This window comes from Homo sapiens, chromosome 5 (assembly GCF_000001405.40).
Source record: "Homo sapiens chromosome 5, GRCh38.p14 Primary Assembly".
Classification (NCBI taxonomy): Eukaryota; Metazoa; Chordata; class Mammalia; order Primates; family Hominidae; genus Homo; species Homo sapiens.
This window is the reverse complement of record NC_000005.10, coordinates 70,404,972-70,424,764: the sequence shown is the minus strand read 5'-3', so window position 1 is coordinate 70,424,764 and position 19,793 is coordinate 70,404,972. Positions and strand designations below refer to the sequence as shown.

The window sequence follows — 19,793 nt, the reverse complement described above, 5'->3', positions numbered from 1 at the left end:
ATATTCCTACCTTGGAGGAACCATCCTTCTTCCACTATATAATAATCCTGCTTAGTTCATGTGGTGCTGACCCTACTTCTATCCTGCTCTGGGCATCAGCAGGCAATCGAAGCGTACAAACAAAATACTTCATTTCCTGGCCACTTTGTTCATGGATGGGCAGATCGTAACTCAGGCCAATCAGAGTTCTCCCTAGACGTGTGCTGAAGCTATAGGCTACGGGTACAATGTAGAACTGGGACAATTAAGAGACATCTTTTCAACTTCCAGAAAATCTATCAGAGAATGAAGCCAGACAAAGCCAGGACCCCAACATATGCAGCAACTATATATGGAATTGGCCCACCTTTGAACATAGCCCAAAATTTTCCTTCTGCACTTAAGCTAGTGTGACATTCTTTTGGTTACTCACAACTGAGTTTCTTGAATCACTCCAGGCCAATGTACATTTCACTCCTCACTGCATTTAATGAAAAACTACTAATGAAGAAAGTATGTCATTTCCCTTATGTGTGCCGGCAAGGATAAAAGGTTGAAAACCAGATTTAAGGGAGAGTGTATTTCACAGAAAATAAAATAGAATCAGTGATGCAAATTTGTAACAGCATATATACCAAAGCAAATAAAAAATGCCATTACTACGTTTTGAAACTAAAATTCAGTTAGGTATGTCATGGAAGCAGAAAAATTGATTCATTAGCAATAGCTACAGTTTAATTTTTATACTTTTTCCCTTTTAAATTAGATGCTTAACTTTATAAGAATTTAATTTTAAGATTAACTGGATTTTATAAATGATTACAATAACTGTATTTTAATATTTTCAGGATAAGGCCGGATGCGGTGGCTCAAGCCTGTAATCCCAGCACTTTGAGAGGCTGAGGCGGGCTGATCACAAGGTCAAGAGATTGAGACCATACTGGCCAACATGGTGAAACCCCGTATCTACTAAAATACAAAAAATTAGCAGGGCGTGGTGGCGGGCATCTGTAGTTCCAGCTACTCAGGAGGCTGAGGCAGGGAATCGCTTGAACCCGTGAGGCGGACTTTGCAGTGATCCGAAATTGTGCCACTGCACTCTAGCCTGGCGACAGAGCAAGACTCCCATCTCCAAAAAAAAAAAAAAAAAAAGGAAAGAAAAAAAATTTCAGGATAAGCACATATAGATTTTAAATAAAAACATTTATATTCAATGTAGTATTATTTACCACTACGCAGAACTCAATTTAGAATAGTTAACCTTGTATCCTAAGAATATAATGGTGGGGGAGATGTTATTAAATTGTTTCACCTAGAGAAGACAGAGGAACCACCCTTCACGTTACTTATTAAGCAGCCATATAAACAGGGCTACGAGGTTGGGTAAATAAAGCAAAGTCCTTGAGTCATGTAAAGGTAATTTTATGCATACCTGAAAGTTCAGTCAATTTTTCAGCTCTTTTACTCTTAGTTACAATTATTCCAATCTTGAAATAAAAACAAAAATTATTATTAATATAACAAGTTATTTCCTCCCATTAAGAATATATATAACTATTCCTGTAGATGATATTGGAGCAGAAAAAAAAATAATTTATATAGCTAAAATAAACTAGTAATTACAAAAGAAAGAAGCAACAGGTGAGAAACTTTTTCTCATGCTGTTTTTGGCAAATAAATTTAGCTATGAGTTCACATTACGTTTAACTTTTAGAGTTATTACGCTTTTCATTTTTAAGTATACCAGAAACTGGTTAAACAATTTGGGTAATTCACAAAATACATGTCCAATTTTTAAAAATAAATTACATTTGGAAGCAAAATAGGAATCTAATTCTGAATTCTATCACTTAGATACGTACCTGACTAATAGGATTTTGATCAAAATATTCCTCTACAAAGTATTCCAACAACTGTTTAAACAAAAAAAGACATACTAGATAAAGGCAAAATAACAATCATAAAGAACACGTCCAACTGATGTTTGTGAAACCTGTTAATCAAGCGTCACTTCTCATGACTTTTAAACTTACAGATTTTCAAAAACTGTTAAGTAATAAAAATATTAAACAGTAAAAACGTTAATTTGAAATGGTGGGTGATGAGATAGGTTTGAGCTAGGTTTTAAAAGATGGAACCATTTGGATGTGTCAGAAGAAATTTCAATGAGGAAAAGATCCAATGAAGAGAGATGGGAGAACGAGCAGAATTGAGAATAGGTTTTGATAAATTAGGAATACGAACATATTTGTAATCTGAGGAGACAGAGTTAAGTAAGGCAAAGGAGAATGAAGATTCAAGAAAGAAAAGGGGTAACTGATAAACCAAGATCCTGATGTGGGGTGGGAGGATAGAAATTAAAAACACAAATAATTAGCTATGTTGGTTTAAAATTTCCCTAAATAACCTGGCAGTACTTCTACTTAGCTATCATTAGCATTAACTAAAAATACAAGGCAAAAAATAAAAAATATTGCATTCTTTAAAAATATCCTTTAGAATCCAGTGTTCTTCCCCACTTTTTTAGTAAAAGTTTAAGTGATTTTGGTACAAATTTAAATGATTTAGTATAAACTTAAATTTTACCTTTAAAGTACACGTCAGTCTATTAGGCTTTAAATCTTGGTCTTCCATTGTTCTTGATCCATCTACTACCACATAAAGGTGGCGCATCTATCGGAAAAAAGAAAGGGCCAATTTCAAGTACTTGTTTTGTTTTGTAGAAACTGGGTCTCGTTCTGTTGCCCAGGTTGGTCTCAAACTCCTGGGCTCAAGCAATCCTCCTGCCTTGGCCTCCCAAAGTGCTGGGATTATAGGCATGAGCCACTGTGCCCAGCCTCAAGTGCCATTTTGACTAGTAAAAATGGCATTTAATAATTACATATTCTATGCACGTATTTTTAACATATTCTTTTAAAAACTTTGTTGTTTTGCTATTGTTTTTTCTAGCAAGACAGAATGTTTCTCTAACCTAAACTAGTTCTGTACTAGTAAAAGAAAAAATAATGACATACCATTCCAAGTCGAACTTGTCCATGGTGCTCAAATACTGTTAAAATTATACAAACATTTTAATGTAATTCCATATACTATCCCCCCCCACAAAAAAAATACAACTTTCCAATTGACCTCCTTTGTTTTTCTTTTTTTCTAATTCTGAGTAAGAATGTCATAACGTGCATTTTTAGTGGAGTAAATAATTAACTTATGGAATACAATACACACAATTATAGGTATTGTAGACAGTCTCTAAAGACCATTTCCTGCTGGGGCAAGGGTAGGTGGCTAGTTCTTTCCCCATAGTCAGAAGGCAATAGGTCAGTTACCCTGAAACACAGCTAAAATGAAGTACTGAGGAGTATTTATAGATAGAAAGGCTTAAAATGAATATATTTTACCTTTTTAAGATACATAGGAAGGTTACATACCTTTTTCTCTTTGCCTTGAATAGAATGTCTTCTATTGTAGCTTTAAGTGATCCAGATTCATCTTCTTTAAGAATCTCCCTATAAGTCATAATTATTTGTTTGAAAAGACAAGCTAAAATGATTACTAGCCCAAATGAAATGAAAATATATGTCCACACAAAGATTTGCATGTAAGTGTTCATGGCTGCATTTTCCTAACAGTCAAAAACTGTAAAGAACCTAAATATCCACAGACTAGTGAATGGATAAACAATAATGTGGCATAACCATAGATGGGAATACTATTCAGCAATAAAAAAGGAATGAAGTATTAATACACACTGCATCATGGATGAGTCTTAAAAATAAGTGAAAGCCAGCCACAACAGACCAACTATTATAGTCATGCATCGCTTACTGACAGGGATACATTCTGAGAAATGCATTGTTAGGCAATTTCATTATTGTGTGAATATCACAGGGTATACTTACACAAACCTAGATGGTATAGCCTATCCCACGCCTAGGTTACAAACCTGTACAGCACGTTACTATACTGAATATCTTAAGACAACTGTAACACAATGGTCAGTATTTGTATATCTAAACATACATAGAAAAGGTAGAGTAAAAATACAGTATTATAATATTATGGGACCATTGTCATATATGCAGTCTGTCTTTGACCAAAACATCATTATGTGGCACATGATTGTATATGATCACATTTTTGTGAAATGTCCAGAAAAGGTTAAAATTTGGAGACAAAAAGTAGACTAATGATTGCCCACAGGTGGAATTAAATTAAGATTTAAATTAATTGTAAATGAATGTGAAGGATCTTACTGGAGTGGTTACAATATTCTAAAACTGGTTTATGATAATGGCTGCACAGCTCAGTAAATTATTAATAAAACATCACTGAATTGTACATTGGAAATGGGTGAATTTTAACATATGTAAAATATACTTTAATAAAGTTGTAAAGAAAAAAAAAGACATTGTCTAAAAGAAAAGACAGGGCAATAAAGCTCTCCTTACCATGTTCTTTCATAGCCTCCTTCCCATCGCTTAGTTCTTTCAGGTTCTTCATCCATTTTTTTCAAAACTGTATTTTATTATTCAATAATCTGTAAAAACCATTAGAATGTAAGTTATCTAAAGATGTTTGTTACAAAATTCATCCAATTAAATTTGAAAATTAGACACATATATAAAGTAAAAAAAAATGGAATGCCAGGTCATCTTATTCTTTGTATTTTACTCAATAATTGTCTTAAAAATCTTCATAGAACTCCATTTCTCATTTCCAAGAAATAATATGAACTTATACACAAACTTGGTACCAATAAAAATAAGCGTCTTTTTACGATTTGTAAAAGAACAAAAATGCTTTATAGATGTGTCACATGACAAACTGTAGACTTGTGAGGAGTCAGTATGGGCGTAGTTGAACTATTATAGCTGAGTGACATGTGATTCATTGTACTATCTCTCTGTGTATGTCTCAATTTTCTCATAATCAAAAGTTTTTAAATCACATTTATTATTTATAAATGGGTAAATGCTATAGCTCATAATTCAAAAAAAAAGGACACAAAATTAAACATAGTTCTTTGAGACATCTCCAAACTGCTTTCCATAGTGGCTGAACTAATTTACATTCCTACCAACAGTGGATAAGCATTCCCTTTTCTTCACAACCTTGCCAACATCTGTTATTTTTTGACTTTTTAATAATATCCATTCTAACTGGTGGTGAGATGGGTTTGTGGTTTTGATTTACATTGTGGTTTTGGTTTGCATTTCTCTAATGATCAGTGATGTTGAACATTTTTTCATATATTTATTGGACACATGTATGTCGATCCAACAATCCCAATACTGGGTATAAACCCAAAGGAAAATAAAACCATTCTACCAAAAGTACAAGAGCACTCATATTAATCACAGCACTATCCAAAATAGCAAAGACATCAAATCAACTTAGATGCTCATAAATGGTGGACTGGATAAAGAAAATGTGGTACGTAATATATCATGGAATACTAGCAGCCAAAAAAACAACGAAAAAAAAAACACAATGAAATCCTGTCTTTTGCAGCAACATGGATACAGCTGGAGGCCATTATCCTCATTGAATTAACACGAACAGAGGCCCAACGCAATGGCTCACGCCTGTAATCCTAGCACTTGGGAGGCCAAGGCAAGTGGATCACCTGAGGTCAGGAGTTTGAAACCAGCCTGGCCAACATGGTGAAACCCTGTCTCTACTAAAAATAGAAAAAAATTAGCCAGATGTGGTGGCGAGCACCTGTAATCCCATCTACTCAGGAGGCTGAGGCAGGAGAATTGCTTGAACCCGGAAGGCAGAGAGGTTGCAGTGAGCCGAGATCGTGCCACTGCACTCTGGCCTAAAAAAAAACAGCAACAGAAAACCAAAGACGGCATGTTCTCATTTACGAGTGGAAACTAAACACTGAGTACACGTGGACATAACGATGAGAACAACAGACATTGGAGACTATTAGACAGGGAAGGATGGGAGAGAGTGAGGGTTGAAAAACTGCCTATCGGGTACTATGTTTACTACCAGGGTGACGGGATCATTTGTATACCAAACCTCAACAACAAGCAATTTATCCATGTAACCAACATGCACACGTACTCCGTGAAAATAAAAGTTGAAAACAAAACAAAACAAACAAACACAGGCCAGGGCCAGGTGCAGCGGCTCCATCCCTGTAATCCCTGCACTTTTGAGAGGACAAGGTGCGGATCACCTGAGGTCAGGAGTTCGAGACCAGTCAGGCCAACATGGCAACACCCGTCTCTACTAAAAATACATAAATTAGTTGGGCATGGTGGCAGGTGCCTGTAATCCCAGCTACTAGGGAGGCTGAGGCAGGAGAATTCCTTGAACCTGGAGGGCAGAAGCTGCAATGAGCCAAGGTCACGCCACTTCACTCCAGCCTGGGTGACAGAGCAAGACTCCGTCTCAAAAAAAAAAAAAAAAAAAAACCAGGCCAGGTATGATGGCTGACATCTGTAATTCTAGCACTTTGGGAGACTAAGGCAGGTGATCACTTGAGGTCAGGAGTTTGAAAATTAGCTAGGAGGTTGGTGGGAGCGGGCCCCTGTAATCCCAGCTACTGGGGAGGCTGAGACAAGAGGACTGCTTGAACCCAGGAGGCACGGAGGCTGCAGTGAGCCGAGATCAGGTCACTGCACTCCAGCCTGGGCAACAGAATGAGACCCTGCCTCAAAAAAGAAAGAAAAGAAAGGAAAGAAAGAGAGAGAGAGAAACGGGCACGGTGGCTCATCCTGTAATCCCAGCACTTTGGGAGGCCGAGGCCAGCAGATCATTTCAGGTCAGGAGTTCAAGACCAGGCTGGCCAACATAGTGAAATGCCGTCTCCACTAGAAATACAAAAATCAGCAGGGCCTAGTGGTGCACACCTGTAATCCCAGCTACTCGGGAGGCTGAGGCAGGAGAATCACTTGAACCTGGCAGGTAGACACTGGAGCGAGCCAAGGTTGTGCCACTGCACTCCAGCCTGGGTGAGAGAGCGAGACTCTGTCATTCATTCATTCATGCACAAATAAATGTCCTCATCACACCTCCATCCTCCCCAATGCAATCTCCCTCCCAACTCCACCACCTCGTGGCTCACTGCAACCTCCACCTCCCGGGTTCAAGTGATTCTCCTGTCTCAGCCTCCCAAGGAGCTGGGATTGCAGGCGCGTGCCACCATGCCCAGCTAATTTTTGTATTTTTAGTACAGTCAGGGTTTTGCCATGTTTTATATTTTTGTAGAGCCAGGGTTTCACCTGACTTGCCAGGCTGATCTCAAACTCCTGACCTCAAGTGATCTGCCTGTAAACAGAATATTTTTGTTTCTTTTTTTGTTTTAAGACGGAGTTTCACTCACCACCCAGGCTGGAGTGCAATGGCGCGATCTCGGCTCACTGCAACCTCCGCCTCCGAGTTCAAGTGATCCTCCTGCCTCAGCCTCCCGAGTAGCTGGGATTACAAGAGCCCGCCACCACACCTGGCTAACTTTTGTGTTTTTAGTAGAAATGGGGTTTTGCCATGGTGGCCAGGCTGGTCTCGAACTCCTGACCTCAGGTGACCCACTCACCTCGGCCTCCCAAAGTGCTGGGATTACAGGCGTGAGTCACCACACCCAGCCTCAACTGAACATTTTGCTCCTCCCTGTTTTCTGTTACGTATTGTGAACTTTAAAAATGAAAAACTCGCATAACGTTCTCAACGTTTTTAAACTCAAATTCTTGGCAGGGCACACAGTGGCTCAAACCTGTAATCCCAGCACTTTGAGAGGCCAAGGCAAAAGGATTGCTTGAGTTCAGGCGCTCAGATCAGCCTGGGCAATAACCTTGTCTCTACAAAACATCAAAAAATTAGCTGGGCGAGGTGGCGAGTACTTGAGTCCCAGCTACTTGGGAAGCAAAAGTGGGAGGATGACTTGAGCCCAGGAGAGTCGAGGCTACTATGTTCACTACTGCACTACAGACTGGGTGACAGAGTGAGACCCTATCTCAAAATAAATAAAATAATTACAAATATATAATAAATATTATAAATATAAAAGTAAATAGCAACTGAGAGACTTTTGGCTGACCATATCAAAGGAATTCTTTTTTTTCTTTTTTTTTTGAGACAAGAGTCTTGCTCTGTCGCCCAAGCTTGGAGTGCAGTGACGCAATCTCGGCTCACTGCAACCTCCGCCTCCAGGGTTCAAGCGATTCTACTGTCTCTTCTGTCTCCCGAATAGCTGAGATTAAGGCACACGCCACCACAGCTAACCTTTTTATTTTTAGTAGAGACGGGGTTTCACCAGCCTGTTGGCCAGGCCTGGTCTCGAATTCCTGACCACAACTGGTCCGCCCACCTCGGTCCTCCAAAGTGTTGGGATTACAGGCATGAGTCACCACGCCCGGCTAAAAGGACTTCTTAATTAGAGCTGCCTGCAACGGGAAATCCGACTGGACAGGAGGTATTAAGGTCCCTAAAACTGCAGACGTTCAATGGGAAGTCTGATTGTAAACATGCATGCTGTTTAAAGGATTCATGCATCCTGAAGATGGACTTTGTAAAGATCTCCAATGGCCTGTCACTTCCCGTCAGTCCATTTTCTTCTTAAAAATATCAGCGAGGCCAGGTGGGTGGCTCACACCTGTAATCCCAGCACTGTGGGAGGCCGAGGCGGGAGGATCACGGGGTCAAGAAATCAAGACCATCCTAGCCAACATGGTGAAACCCCGTCTCTACTGAAAATACAAAAATTAGCTGGGCGTGGTGGCACGCGCCTGTAGTTCCAGCTACTCGGGAGGCTGAGGAAGGAGAATCGCTTGAACCCGGGAGGTGGAGGTTGCAGTGAGCCGAGATCGCGCCGCTGCGCTCCAGCCTGGCGACAGGGCGAGACTCCGTCTCGAAGAAAAAAAAAAATTTTTAAGTGATCTGTTTCCTGGAATCCAACCCCAAACAATCCACGTTCCTCAGCATAAGCCTACTGGTGTGATTCCCGTTACATGAGCTCGGAATGCTATCTGCCAACAAATGAGAGCACCAAACATCCCAATTTAAGAAGCTTTTCTTCACACCTTACCAAGCTATGTGAAACTGGCAAGGGTGATTACTGTCCTTGTTTTTCAGGTATGGGATTCAGGCTCAGAGGTTGGTCACTTTCTCAAGCGGGTCACAAACTCGAACCCTGAACCATCATTTCTAAAAGTCGCGCTTTTACTTAGGGAGAGACGGCCTGCAGCTTCCCTCCCTACTCTGCGGCTCCCCAGACGAAAGTTACCTTCCTCTGCCTTCACAAGCTCCTTCACATCCTCCTTCCCTATGAGCCCAGGCAGGGCAATTCAACCTCCGTTCCCCGCCACGAAAACGCTCCCAGCCGCCTAGCTAGCCAGACGGCCTGCCCCACCTCTGCGCCTCACAGACTTCCACACGCGGACTCACCGGCGCCGCTAGAAGGACTCTCAGCCGGAAACTCCGCCCGACACTCCTCTCCGCCGCTTTAGGGGCGCCCCGGAAGTCATTCCGCCGCGCCCTGCGGCCACGCCGAAACGTTCCGGATGCTGCAGAGTGCAGCTGCCGGAGCGGGGCGCTCAGGTGCAGGGCATGGCCTCCGCTGAGTTGGGGCGCGGAAAGGGACGGTGTTCCAGCTGGAATTCACAGAGAACCGGAAAGAGTGATCGCCATTCGCTCTCGGAAGGTCGAAGGCTCTGCAGCCATCGACCTGGGTTCTGAGGAGCTCGATCTGGTTTTTCTACTTCTAAAAGGTTGGGATGAAGGACCCTGGCCACAGAAGTAAAGCCAGAATTATCCTTGCTTCTTGCTGTGTATTTCAGGACTCCTCCATTGCTCTTGCTGTTCATTCAACAAACATTGAGCATCTACTTTGAGCCTGATGCATGTCTAAGCACTGAAGAAATAACAATGAAAAACTGTCAAAAATCCTTGCTCTCGTGGAGTTTTCCTTCTCCAAGGGGAGTCAGTATGAAGAAAAACATATACTATATGAAATGGTGATAATGCTGTGGAGAAAAACTAAGCACTGAAGGGGAAAAGTTTGCAGTTTAAAATAGGGTGGCCAGGCCGGGTGCGATGGTTCACACCTGTAATCCCAGGCATGGTGATTTGGGAGGCCGAGCGGGGGTGGATCATCGGAGGGCAGGAGTTCGAGACCAGCCTGGCCAACATAGTGAATTCCGTCTCTACTAAAAATACAAAAACATTAGCCGGGCGTGCTGGCAGGCGCCTGTAATCCCAGCTACTCGGGAGGCTGAGGCAGGAGAATCGCTTGAATCCAGGAGGCACAGGTTGCAGTGAGCCAACCTTGCACTCCAGCCTGGGTGACAGAGACTTCATCTCAAAAAATAAAATAGGGTGGCCAGAGGAGTCCTCGCTGGGAAGACAGTTAAGCCATGACCTGAATGAGGAAGGGTGTTAACCCTACTGATACCTAGGGGAAAAGCTCTTCAGACAAAGAGAGCTGCAAGTGCAAAGGCCCTGAGGTAGAAGTGCATTGGGGTCTTTGACGACTGCAGGAGTGAGCAGGGGATGAGTGGTGGCAGCTGCAATCAGAAGGGTAAGGTGGGGAGGAGAGGCTGTGAGCACTGTTAAGAACTTTGGGGGAATTGTGATGGCTTGGACCAGCAGCTGGTGAGAAGTGACTGAATTCTAAATCTTACCAATACACTGGATGTGTGTTATGAGAAAAGAATCAAGGATACCTCCATAGTCTTTAGCTGAGCAACTGAAAGGTTGGGGTTGCAATTATTAAAATGTTGGCGGGGTGGGTAAGATCAATTCAGTTTTGGACAAGTTGTCTGACTGCCAATTAACACAAGTGGAATTACTGGCATTTCCCATACTTGAGAAATGGAGAGGCAGTGCACCCCCAGATGAGAAAAGGGTTAGGAATAACACAAAGGAACTGCAGAAGCTAGGGCCTCTTTCCTTCCCCATCAGCATACTCATCCCCTCCACTGCCTTTATTTTATTGTTAAAAATTTTTCCCATCTCTGTTGTCTCCCTCAAAAATATAAACAGAAGGTATCTTGCATAGCAGTGGAAAGAACAGCCCTGGATTTAAAATCAGGCTCTGACACACTGGCTGGGTGACCTCAAGCAAGTCACAACCCAAGTCTATGAACTAATGTGTAAAATGGGGTTGTCTCCACCAACCCTGCAGGGCTTAGTGGGAACTCCATAATCAGTCTCATTTCCTCCCAGAAGACAGGATTTTAAAAGGGAGAGGAGGGGAAATTAGTATCGCAGTGCCAGGAAGCTTCCATGCTTGCCTCCCTCCCACCTTTGACCTCATTAGAGGACTCACACACAAATTCCACACTTTTCCTTTTGTGCCCTTCCTTCCTATCCACACTTTTGCTTCCTTCCATCTTAATTGACCATCCTATTTGCAAGACGGGATGCATTCCTCTAGGACAAACAGCCTAGAGGAATCCCAAGCCCCAAGTTTCTTGCATATGTTTGTTATCCATCAGCCTGGGAAGGCTTTAAGGAAAACCAGGAAAAAGATAGAGGACTCCCCAATAAATATAAAGCATATTTGCGAAGAGAGGAGACTGAAACAGTTTTCCCAACTGTAATATTTGCTCTGTATAGATTTTAGACATGGATGTTAAGATTCAACTAGGAATGGTACTACAGCAAAACAAAATATGCATAAATCCATAATCTCTTGGCATGATTATGACTGACATATTCTAATCATTTACAAAGTGGTAGAATAAATTATCTAACCTACTCAGATGTTTTTTCAACTTGTAAAACTAAAAGACAACTATAAAGAATGGATAATCTGTTCTTTGCCCATGAGTGGCCAGACACTATCAACAGGGTTAGGACATTCACAATCAGCTCAGCCAGTGGAATCAGATATAAAAAGCATGCAACTTGAAAGACTGGGAGAAGTGAACCTGTCTATTCCAATAGACAGGCTCCCTTACAGGGAAACTAAATCATTCCAGAAAGCCTCATCTAAAACCTCTGTAATTGACAACAGTATCTAACAATCGTGATCTTGATAAGTAAACTATTTGCTGTAACCTAAAGAAGCATTTGTTTATCATGTACAAATATTTAGAATGCCAATCCTGCATTCTCTGCCTAGAATTCAAAAGAATTTACATTCTAAGGCTGCACCCAGCACAGATCAATCATATGGGATTGGATGACACATGCACTTTTAAAAAACACAATTTGCTTTTAGAAAACTTGTTAAAGTTTCACCTTCTGGCTTTGGAAGATGGGGGTAGCTAGGCATATTTACTTTTAGACAAGGACTGAGTCACACATTAACTACCTTCTTAACTATGAGATTATTACAAATATATTTTTACAAATACAAAAAACTGAAGTACAGAGAGGCTAAGTTAATTTCTCCAAGGTCCCACAGCAAGTAACTGCAGAAGGGCAAAGCAAAAATAGGACAACACATGTAGGCAATACCAAGCAGTTCTTGTGGCAGCAACTGGAAACCTTTTGGAGACACCATTCTGCATTTCGTTGTAGTCATACACAAAACCCTAGTTATGTATCCATGCTTCTTTCTCATAATGCCAAAGTGGCACTATTCTAATTTACTAACAAGGTTTTCTAAAAACTACCCAAATTATTGAGGTGTTTTTGCTCACTTCTTCCCATTAGAATAAATGTAGACAATAAGAAACGCATGAGGGATGACATAGTCCTCCATCAAATCTGTCCTTTCACACAAGAGATGGCATGGTGTAGTGTAGCAGAATCATGAGCTGCCAGGAAATTATGAATTCTGATTCCTCCAGCTGAGTCTTTGAAAAAGTCCAGATGAGAAACACTTCCATCCTGATGCTGAAGCAAGGAGAATGTCCTTGTGTGAGGAATTCTCACAACACCAACTGAAGCTAAGGTCCCCGGAGCCATGATAAAAGCACTTTTCTGCCCTGATTCTTCTTTACACACATGTACCCATTCAGGTCTTTACAGATATTTCACAGGAAGCATTTATGTTACAAGTACTTAAAATGCACTCGAAATTAATATAGGATACTTTATTTACATCAGAGTGATCTCACATTATCCAATCCATTAACAAAGTCAACACAGGATGGAAGTATAGAATCTAACAGTTGAAGAGACTAAGATCCTAATCCCTTGTTTTGCCACTTGCTAGTGTGACAACAGCCAGTTAATCTATCATATCATTAGTTCCTTGTCTATAAAAGAAGAATAAGAAATGGTCACATGTCAAAAGATCGTTGTGAGGATTAAATATCATATATGTACTTATGTGTATGTAACTTATTTACTATAAATACTAGTTGACTTCACTTTATTTCAAAAAATATAAAGCACATATGACAAAACATTAACACATGTTATTTCTGGGCGGATGGTACTTATATTTTATACTTTTCTGTATTTAAATTTTTCAAAATAAAATAATGATCCTATATACTTTTAATACAAAATCACATATGTAGGGCATCACTTTATACGCAGGGAATCTTTACAAAATGAACTATGTGCTATCACAACAAACTCCTTAGAACAATAGTTTATAACAAAGCAGAATTCCAGACAAGAACTACAGGTCAGAAATGGAAGGGATGTCGGAAATCTAATCTAAACCTCTGACTTTCTAGACTAGGAAGCTGCTTGAGTGGCTTTTCAAATTTACATCCAGCTAGTTAATGCCAACGCCAACAGAAACACCCTGATCCTAGTTTCCTAAAACGGTATTTAGTATAAATACACATGAAAATTTTTCTTATTTTTGAAATTTCAAAGTCCAATTTTATAACACAATTTTACAATGCAAATTCTTGCTGTTTCACTTTCTGGATTCAGCTGAATAGTTTTGTGAAAATACTGACAAACTTGCCTTCACGAACTGACTTCCAAGAACAAATTGTTAAAACTTTAACAGAAAAATCAGTTAAAGGTGCTCATCAAGAGAGTCCTTTTCATTTGGTATAAATCCAAAACTATGAAAATACCTTTTGTATTATGTGCATGCAGAAAATTAAGAATTTATTCAATTTGCAGAAATAAATCAGTGATATAATGGAAACATTTAAAATTTTATCTCTGGAAAATAATCCAAAATCATCTATCAAAAATTATAGGCCGGGCGCAGTGGCTCACGCCTCTAATCCCAGCACTTTGGGAGGCCGAGGTGGATGGATCACCTGAGGTCAGGAGTTCGAGACCAGCCTGACCAACGTGGAGAAACCCCATCTCTACTAAAAATACAAAAAAAAATTAGCCAGGTGTGGTGGCGCATGCCTGTAATCCCAGCTACTCGGGAGGCCGAGGCAGGAGAATTGTTTGAACCTGGGAGGCGGAGGTTGTGGTGAGCTGAGATCGCGACATTGCACTCCAGCCTGTTCAACAAGAGCAAAACTCCATCTCAAAAAAAAAAAAAAAAAAAAAAATACACACACACACACACACACTTAGGCCAGGCATGGTGGCTCACGCCTGTAATCCCAGCACTTTGGGAGGCCGAGGCAGGCAGACCACAAGGTCAGGAGTTCAAGACCAACCTGGCCAATATGGTAAAACCCCGTCTCTATTAAAAATACAAAAATTAGCCAGGCATGGTGATGGGTACCTGTAGTCTCAACTACTCGAGAGGCTGAGGCAGGAGAATTGCTTGAACCCGGGAGGTGGAGGTTGCAGTGAGCCAAGATAGCGCCACTGCATTCCAGCCTGGGTGAGAGTGAGACTCTGTCTCAAAAAAAAAAAAAAATTATATACCTAAATATCTGAAATGCATACTAAAGTTCAGTTTATAGATTATTCTAAAAAAAAGTTTTTAGAAAAGTCTAAGCTGGGATGATCACAATCAACTTGGTCAGCACAGTGCTATCAAGTAATTTTACTAATAAGAATCTGAATTTTTAAAAAAGTGATACAATTTAAGGGCACCATTTGAAATTATTTGGTATTTCGTGGTATAGCATTCTATTCCCAGACATATCAGCATTCTTACAGCCAAAGGAATGGGAAACGACTAACCAGCACAGCATCCAAAGGAGTATAAACAACAACAGATACAACTCCTGAGTGTGTTTTATTTAGGCTTGATTTAGTTAATTTTCTTTTTTCTTTTTCTTTTTCTTTTTTTTTTTTTTTTTTCTGAGGAGTTTCACTGTTGCTGCCCAGGCTGCAGCGCAGTGCTGGGATCTCGGTTCACTGCATCCTCCACCCCGCCAGTTCAAGTGATTCTCCTGCCTTAGCCTCCTGAGTAGCTGGGATTACAGGCACCCACCCACCACCATACCCGGCCAATTTTTTGTGTTCTTAGTACACATGGGGTTTCACCATGTTGGCCAGGATGGTCTCGAACTTCAGACCTCAGGTGATCCGCCCACCTTGGCCTCCCAAAGTGCTGGGATTACAGGCATGAGCCACCGCACCCAGCCAGTTAATTTTTCTATTAACTAAGACCTAATTAAGATTGAGGCAGAAGAAATGGGTCCTTGGGATTTGAAAATTACTATTCAATTTGGAAGTTTAATTTGCAACATAGATTGTCTGTTATTAAATTACTAGATATAATATCACAAAGGTGGAAAGAAAGGTTGCTTAGTTAAAGATCTAAGTTACTAGTCATGGTGTCAGATATAGAGAATGATTGAAGGTTATCAGAGTCACACACCAGATGAGTAAATTGTTGTTTTCAAGGAAGAGGTTACATAAAGGTAAGCGGAGTAATATTTCAGCATTTTTGTTAATTAAAAATTTGTAAAGTTATTTCCATTTCAAGGAAATTACTCTCAGTAATTTTACGGGTAAAATGACAAATTCCAAGTTTAATTTTCACATGTAACACCCTCCTTGAGCACTTATTTTTATAAAGCTATTAATCTATTTTGGTCTCAATTTACCTTTCTTTAAAGAGATTTTAAAATTTTCTGAAAGAAGTTGACATCTGGAAGTGTAGCTGTTATATTTTTCAATTTTTAATTACATATTTAATTATCCTTTAATTACTTAAGGTTATTCTCAAAAGTGAAGAGATAGCTGGGATCACACTGCGTAAGATTTTACTCCTGAATGTAATATTCAAAAATGTTACAAAGTCTATCAAAGAGGTTTTCATTCTGTGACAATACATGGTCAATTTGACATGGTCAGGAAGCACCACCCCCACTGAGAGATACCAAATTATGGAGTAAACCACCGTAATTTAGGCAGATCTTGAGAGAGAAAATGCTGAGTGGATGCAGAGGCAGCAATGAAGCTGAGCTGAAGAGGGAGGAAGCCTGTGCAGGGAACCCAAACACTACAGCTAGTTCCCCAGAATGGCTCCTAGGAAAGGGCCTCTGCCTGAGAGAGACCTGTGGCCTAGAACACCTAACACAAGAAACACAGTGACTGCAGGAGACTCCCCCAGGGCCCAGGAGCACATCTGGTGATGGAGGCATCTCTCCCACCCCCACTATAGAGCACACCTGCAAACAAAAGGAAGTATAAAACAGCCATGCCACTGGGTATTAGGCTAGCCACTGGCCATCACTCTTAAGCACTATGCATTGGATCACATCCCAAACTACAACATCAAAATTTATCCTGCTACATATACACCTGTGAAACCAAACACCAGAATTACTCATACATAAAAATCCTGGACAGAGAAAGCCCTGACCCTTTGAAAGCATCCAGAAACAAAACCAATTGCCTATACTCAACATACACTACAGTTAAAGGAACACTAACCCTACCAGAAGAGAAAAAATCAGTGCAAGAACTCTGGCAATTCAAAAAGCTAGAGTGTCCTCTTACCTCAAAATTAGCCCACTAGCTACCAAGCAATGGTTCTTAATCAGTCTAAAATAATTGCAACAGACATAGAATACAGAACCTCGATGGCAGGGAAGCTCATGAACATTAAGGAGAAAGTTGAAACCCTAGCCAAGTAATCCAGTAAAGCAATCTAAGTAAGTGCTGAAAGATGAAATTGCCATTTTAAACAACAGCCACACTGAATTTCTAGAGCAGAAAAAATTCAGTATAAGAATTTTATAATACAATAAGAAATATTAACAGAAGGTAGGCCAAGCTAAGGAAAGAATCTCAGAGCTCAAAGACTGGTTCGTTGAATCAACTGAGTCAAAAGAAAATTTTAAAAAAGAATTAAAAAAAGAAAATGAACCAAAGCTTTAAGAAATATGGAATTATATAAAGAGACCAAATCTACGACTCATTGTCATTCCTAGAAGAGAAACAAAGAGAAAAGGCAACTTGGAAAATAGATTTGAGAATAGAGTCTATGAAAATCTTCCTAACCTCGCTAGAGAGAGTGACATGTAAATCCAAAAAATACAGCAAACCCAGCTAGGCACTACAAAAGGTGACTATCCCTAAGGCACACAGTCATCATATTCACCAAAGTAAATACAAAAGAAAAAAAAATCTTAAAGGCAGCTAGAGAGAAAGGTCATGTTTTCATAAAGCAAGAACTCCACTAGGCTAGTAGTAAATATCTCAGCAAAAACCTTACAAGCCAGAAGAGATTAAGGGCCTATGTCCAACATCATTAATGAAAATAAATTCCAGGCAATAATTTTATATTTCACTAAACTAAACTTCCTAAGTGAAGAAGAAACAAATTTCTCCTCAGATAAGCAAATACTGAGGGAATCAATTTCAACTTGACCAGCCTTATGAAAGGTCCTTAAGGGAGTGCTATACATTGAGTAAAAAGAATGACACCTGCTACCACAAAAACCCACTGAAGTACATAGCTCACAGGCACTATAAAGTATCTACACAATCAAGTCTACCTAAAAACCAGCTACAAACGTGATGATAGGATCAAAATCTCATGTATCAACATTAACCATAAATGTAAATAGGCTAAACACCCCCACTTAAATGACATACAATGGCAAACTGGATAAAAATGCAAGGCTCACCATCTGTAGTCTTCAAGAGACTCATCTCATATGTAATGACAGCCACTGGCCCAAAATAAGGGGATGGAGAAAATCTGCCATGCAAATGATAACAAAAAAGCAGGAGTAACTATTCTTATATCAGATAAAACAGACTTTAATCAAAATTAAAAAGAACAATTGAAGAATGAAGAGCATTACGTCATGAGAAAGTATATGATCAAACAAGAATACTTAAGTACCCTAAATATAAATGCACCCAACATGGAGCACCCAGATTCATAAAACAAGTTCTTTTTGGACTACAAAAAGACAGACGACCACCCAATAACTGTAGGAGACTTCAACACCCCCGCTGGCAGCACTGGATCATCAAAGCAGATAACCAAGAAAGAAACTGTGTACTTAAACTTCACACTTGACCATTTGGACCTAATAAGACATCTACAGAACACTCCACTCAATAACCACAGAATATACATTCTTCTCATCTGCACAGGGAACATATTCTAACATTGACCACATGCTTGGTCATAAAGCAAGTCTGGATAAATTTTAAAAAATGAAATCATATCAAGCACACTCTTAGATCTCAATGTAATCAAAATATAAATAAATATCAACATCTCTCAACACTACACAAATAGATGAAAATTAAACAACTTTCTCCTGAATAACTTCTGTGTGAAAATCAAAATTAAGGGAGAAATTTTAAGAAAGTGAAATTAATGAAAATGGGAACACAAATTACCAAAATCTCTGGGATGCAGCTAAATCAGTGTTAAGAGGAACGTTTAAATGCCTTTATCATAAAGTTAGAAATACTTCAAATTAACAATCTAACACTACACCTAAAGGAACTAGGGAAGAAAAAAAAAAGAACAACCCTACATCAACGCTAGGAATGAAAAGAAACAACTAAAATAGAGAAGATCTGAATGAAATTGAGATGCAAAAATCCATACAAAAGATTAATGAAACCAAGAGTTGATTTAAAAAAAGAGATTGATAGACCTTTAGCTAGATAAACAAAGAAAAAAAAGAGAAGATCTAAATATATAAATCAGAATGACAAAAACGACATTAAAAATGGTCCCACAGACATACAAAATAATCCTCAGAGAATACTAGGAATAACTCTAGACACAAAAATTAGAAAATCTAGAGGAAATGGATAAATTTCTGAAAACAGGCAATCTTCCAAGATTGAATCAGGAAGATACTGAAATACTGAAGAGACCAATATGAAGCTCTGAAATTGAATAAGTAATAAAAAATCTACCAAGCCAAAAAGCCCTGGACTATATGGATTCACAGCAAAATTCTACCGGAAGTATAACGAAGAACTAGTACAATTCTACTGAAACTATTCCAGAAAAGTTGAAGAGAACGTACTCCTTCCTAACTCACGCTGTGAAGCCAGAAGCAGCTTAATACCAAAACCTGGCAGAGACGCAAAAAAAAAGAACATTCAGGTGACCACTGTTGACGAACATAGACTCAAAAATTCTCAACAAAGTACTAGCAAACTGAATCCATCAGCAGCATATCAAAAAATTAATCTACTATGACAATACAGGCTTTATTCCTGGGATGCATGGCTGGTTCAACATATGCAAATCAATAAATGTGATTCACCAGATAAACAGAATTAAATCAAAAACCATATGATCATCTCAATGGATGCCGGAAAAGCTTTCAATTAAATCCAGTGTCCCTTCATGAAAAAACAAAACAAAAAAAAACCCTCAACAGTTGAGGCTTCAAATAAGCATACTTCAAAATAAAAAAGAGCTATCTACAACAAACCCACAGCCAATATAATACTCAATGGGCAAAAGCTGAAAGCATTCTCCTTTAGAAATGAAACAAGCCAAGGACATCCACTCTTACCACTCCTATTCAACATAGTACCAGAAATCCTAGTCAGAGCAATCTTGCAACAGAAAAAGAGAAAAGCACCCA

General features: G+C 39.6%; 1 pseudogene across 1 annotated transcript in view, besides 3 other annotated features; it reads right to left on the bottom strand.

The window, feature by feature from the left end:
- Positions 1-9,395, bottom strand: part of GTF2H2B (general transcription factor IIH subunit 2B (pseudogene)) — a 34,993-nt pseudogene extending 25,598 nt beyond the window's left edge. Inside the window, exons 1-6 of the transcript NR_033417.1 lie at positions 9,215-9,395; positions 4,428-4,516; positions 3,408-3,485; positions 2,566-2,652; positions 1,842-1,892; positions 1,412-1,466 (exon numbers count right to left, since the gene is read on the bottom strand). The product of NR_033417.1 is annotated as a general transcription factor IIH subunit 2B (pseudogene) (transcript). The remainder of the gene's footprint in view (positions 1-1,411; positions 1,467-1,841; positions 1,893-2,565; positions 2,653-3,407; positions 3,486-4,427; positions 4,517-9,214) is intronic.
- Positions 7,390-7,890: an enhancer, noted in NCBI's record as "H3K4me1 hESC enhancer chr5:69712702-69713202 (GRCh37/hg19 assembly coordinates)". NCBI's record gives its function as "activates a minimal SCP1, AML or CMV promoter by ChIP-STARR-seq in primed H9 embryonic stem cells {active_cell/tissue: H9 hESC(primed)}" and the evidence as "EXISTENCE:reporter gene assay evidence [ECO:0000049][PMID:30033119]".
- Positions 8,161-8,789: an enhancer, noted in NCBI's record as "H3K27ac hESC enhancer chr5:69711803-69712431 (GRCh37/hg19 assembly coordinates)". NCBI's record gives its function as "activates a minimal SCP1, AML or CMV promoter by ChIP-STARR-seq in naive and primed H9 embryonic stem cells {active_cell/tissue: H9 hESC(naive and primed)}" and the evidence as "EXISTENCE:reporter gene assay evidence [ECO:0000049][PMID:30033119]".
- Positions 8,790-9,420: an enhancer, noted in NCBI's record as "OCT4-H3K27ac hESC enhancer chr5:69711172-69711802 (GRCh37/hg19 assembly coordinates)". NCBI's record gives its function as "activates a minimal SCP1, AML or CMV promoter by ChIP-STARR-seq in naive and primed H9 embryonic stem cells {active_cell/tissue: H9 hESC(naive and primed)}" and the evidence as "EXISTENCE:reporter gene assay evidence [ECO:0000049][PMID:30033119]".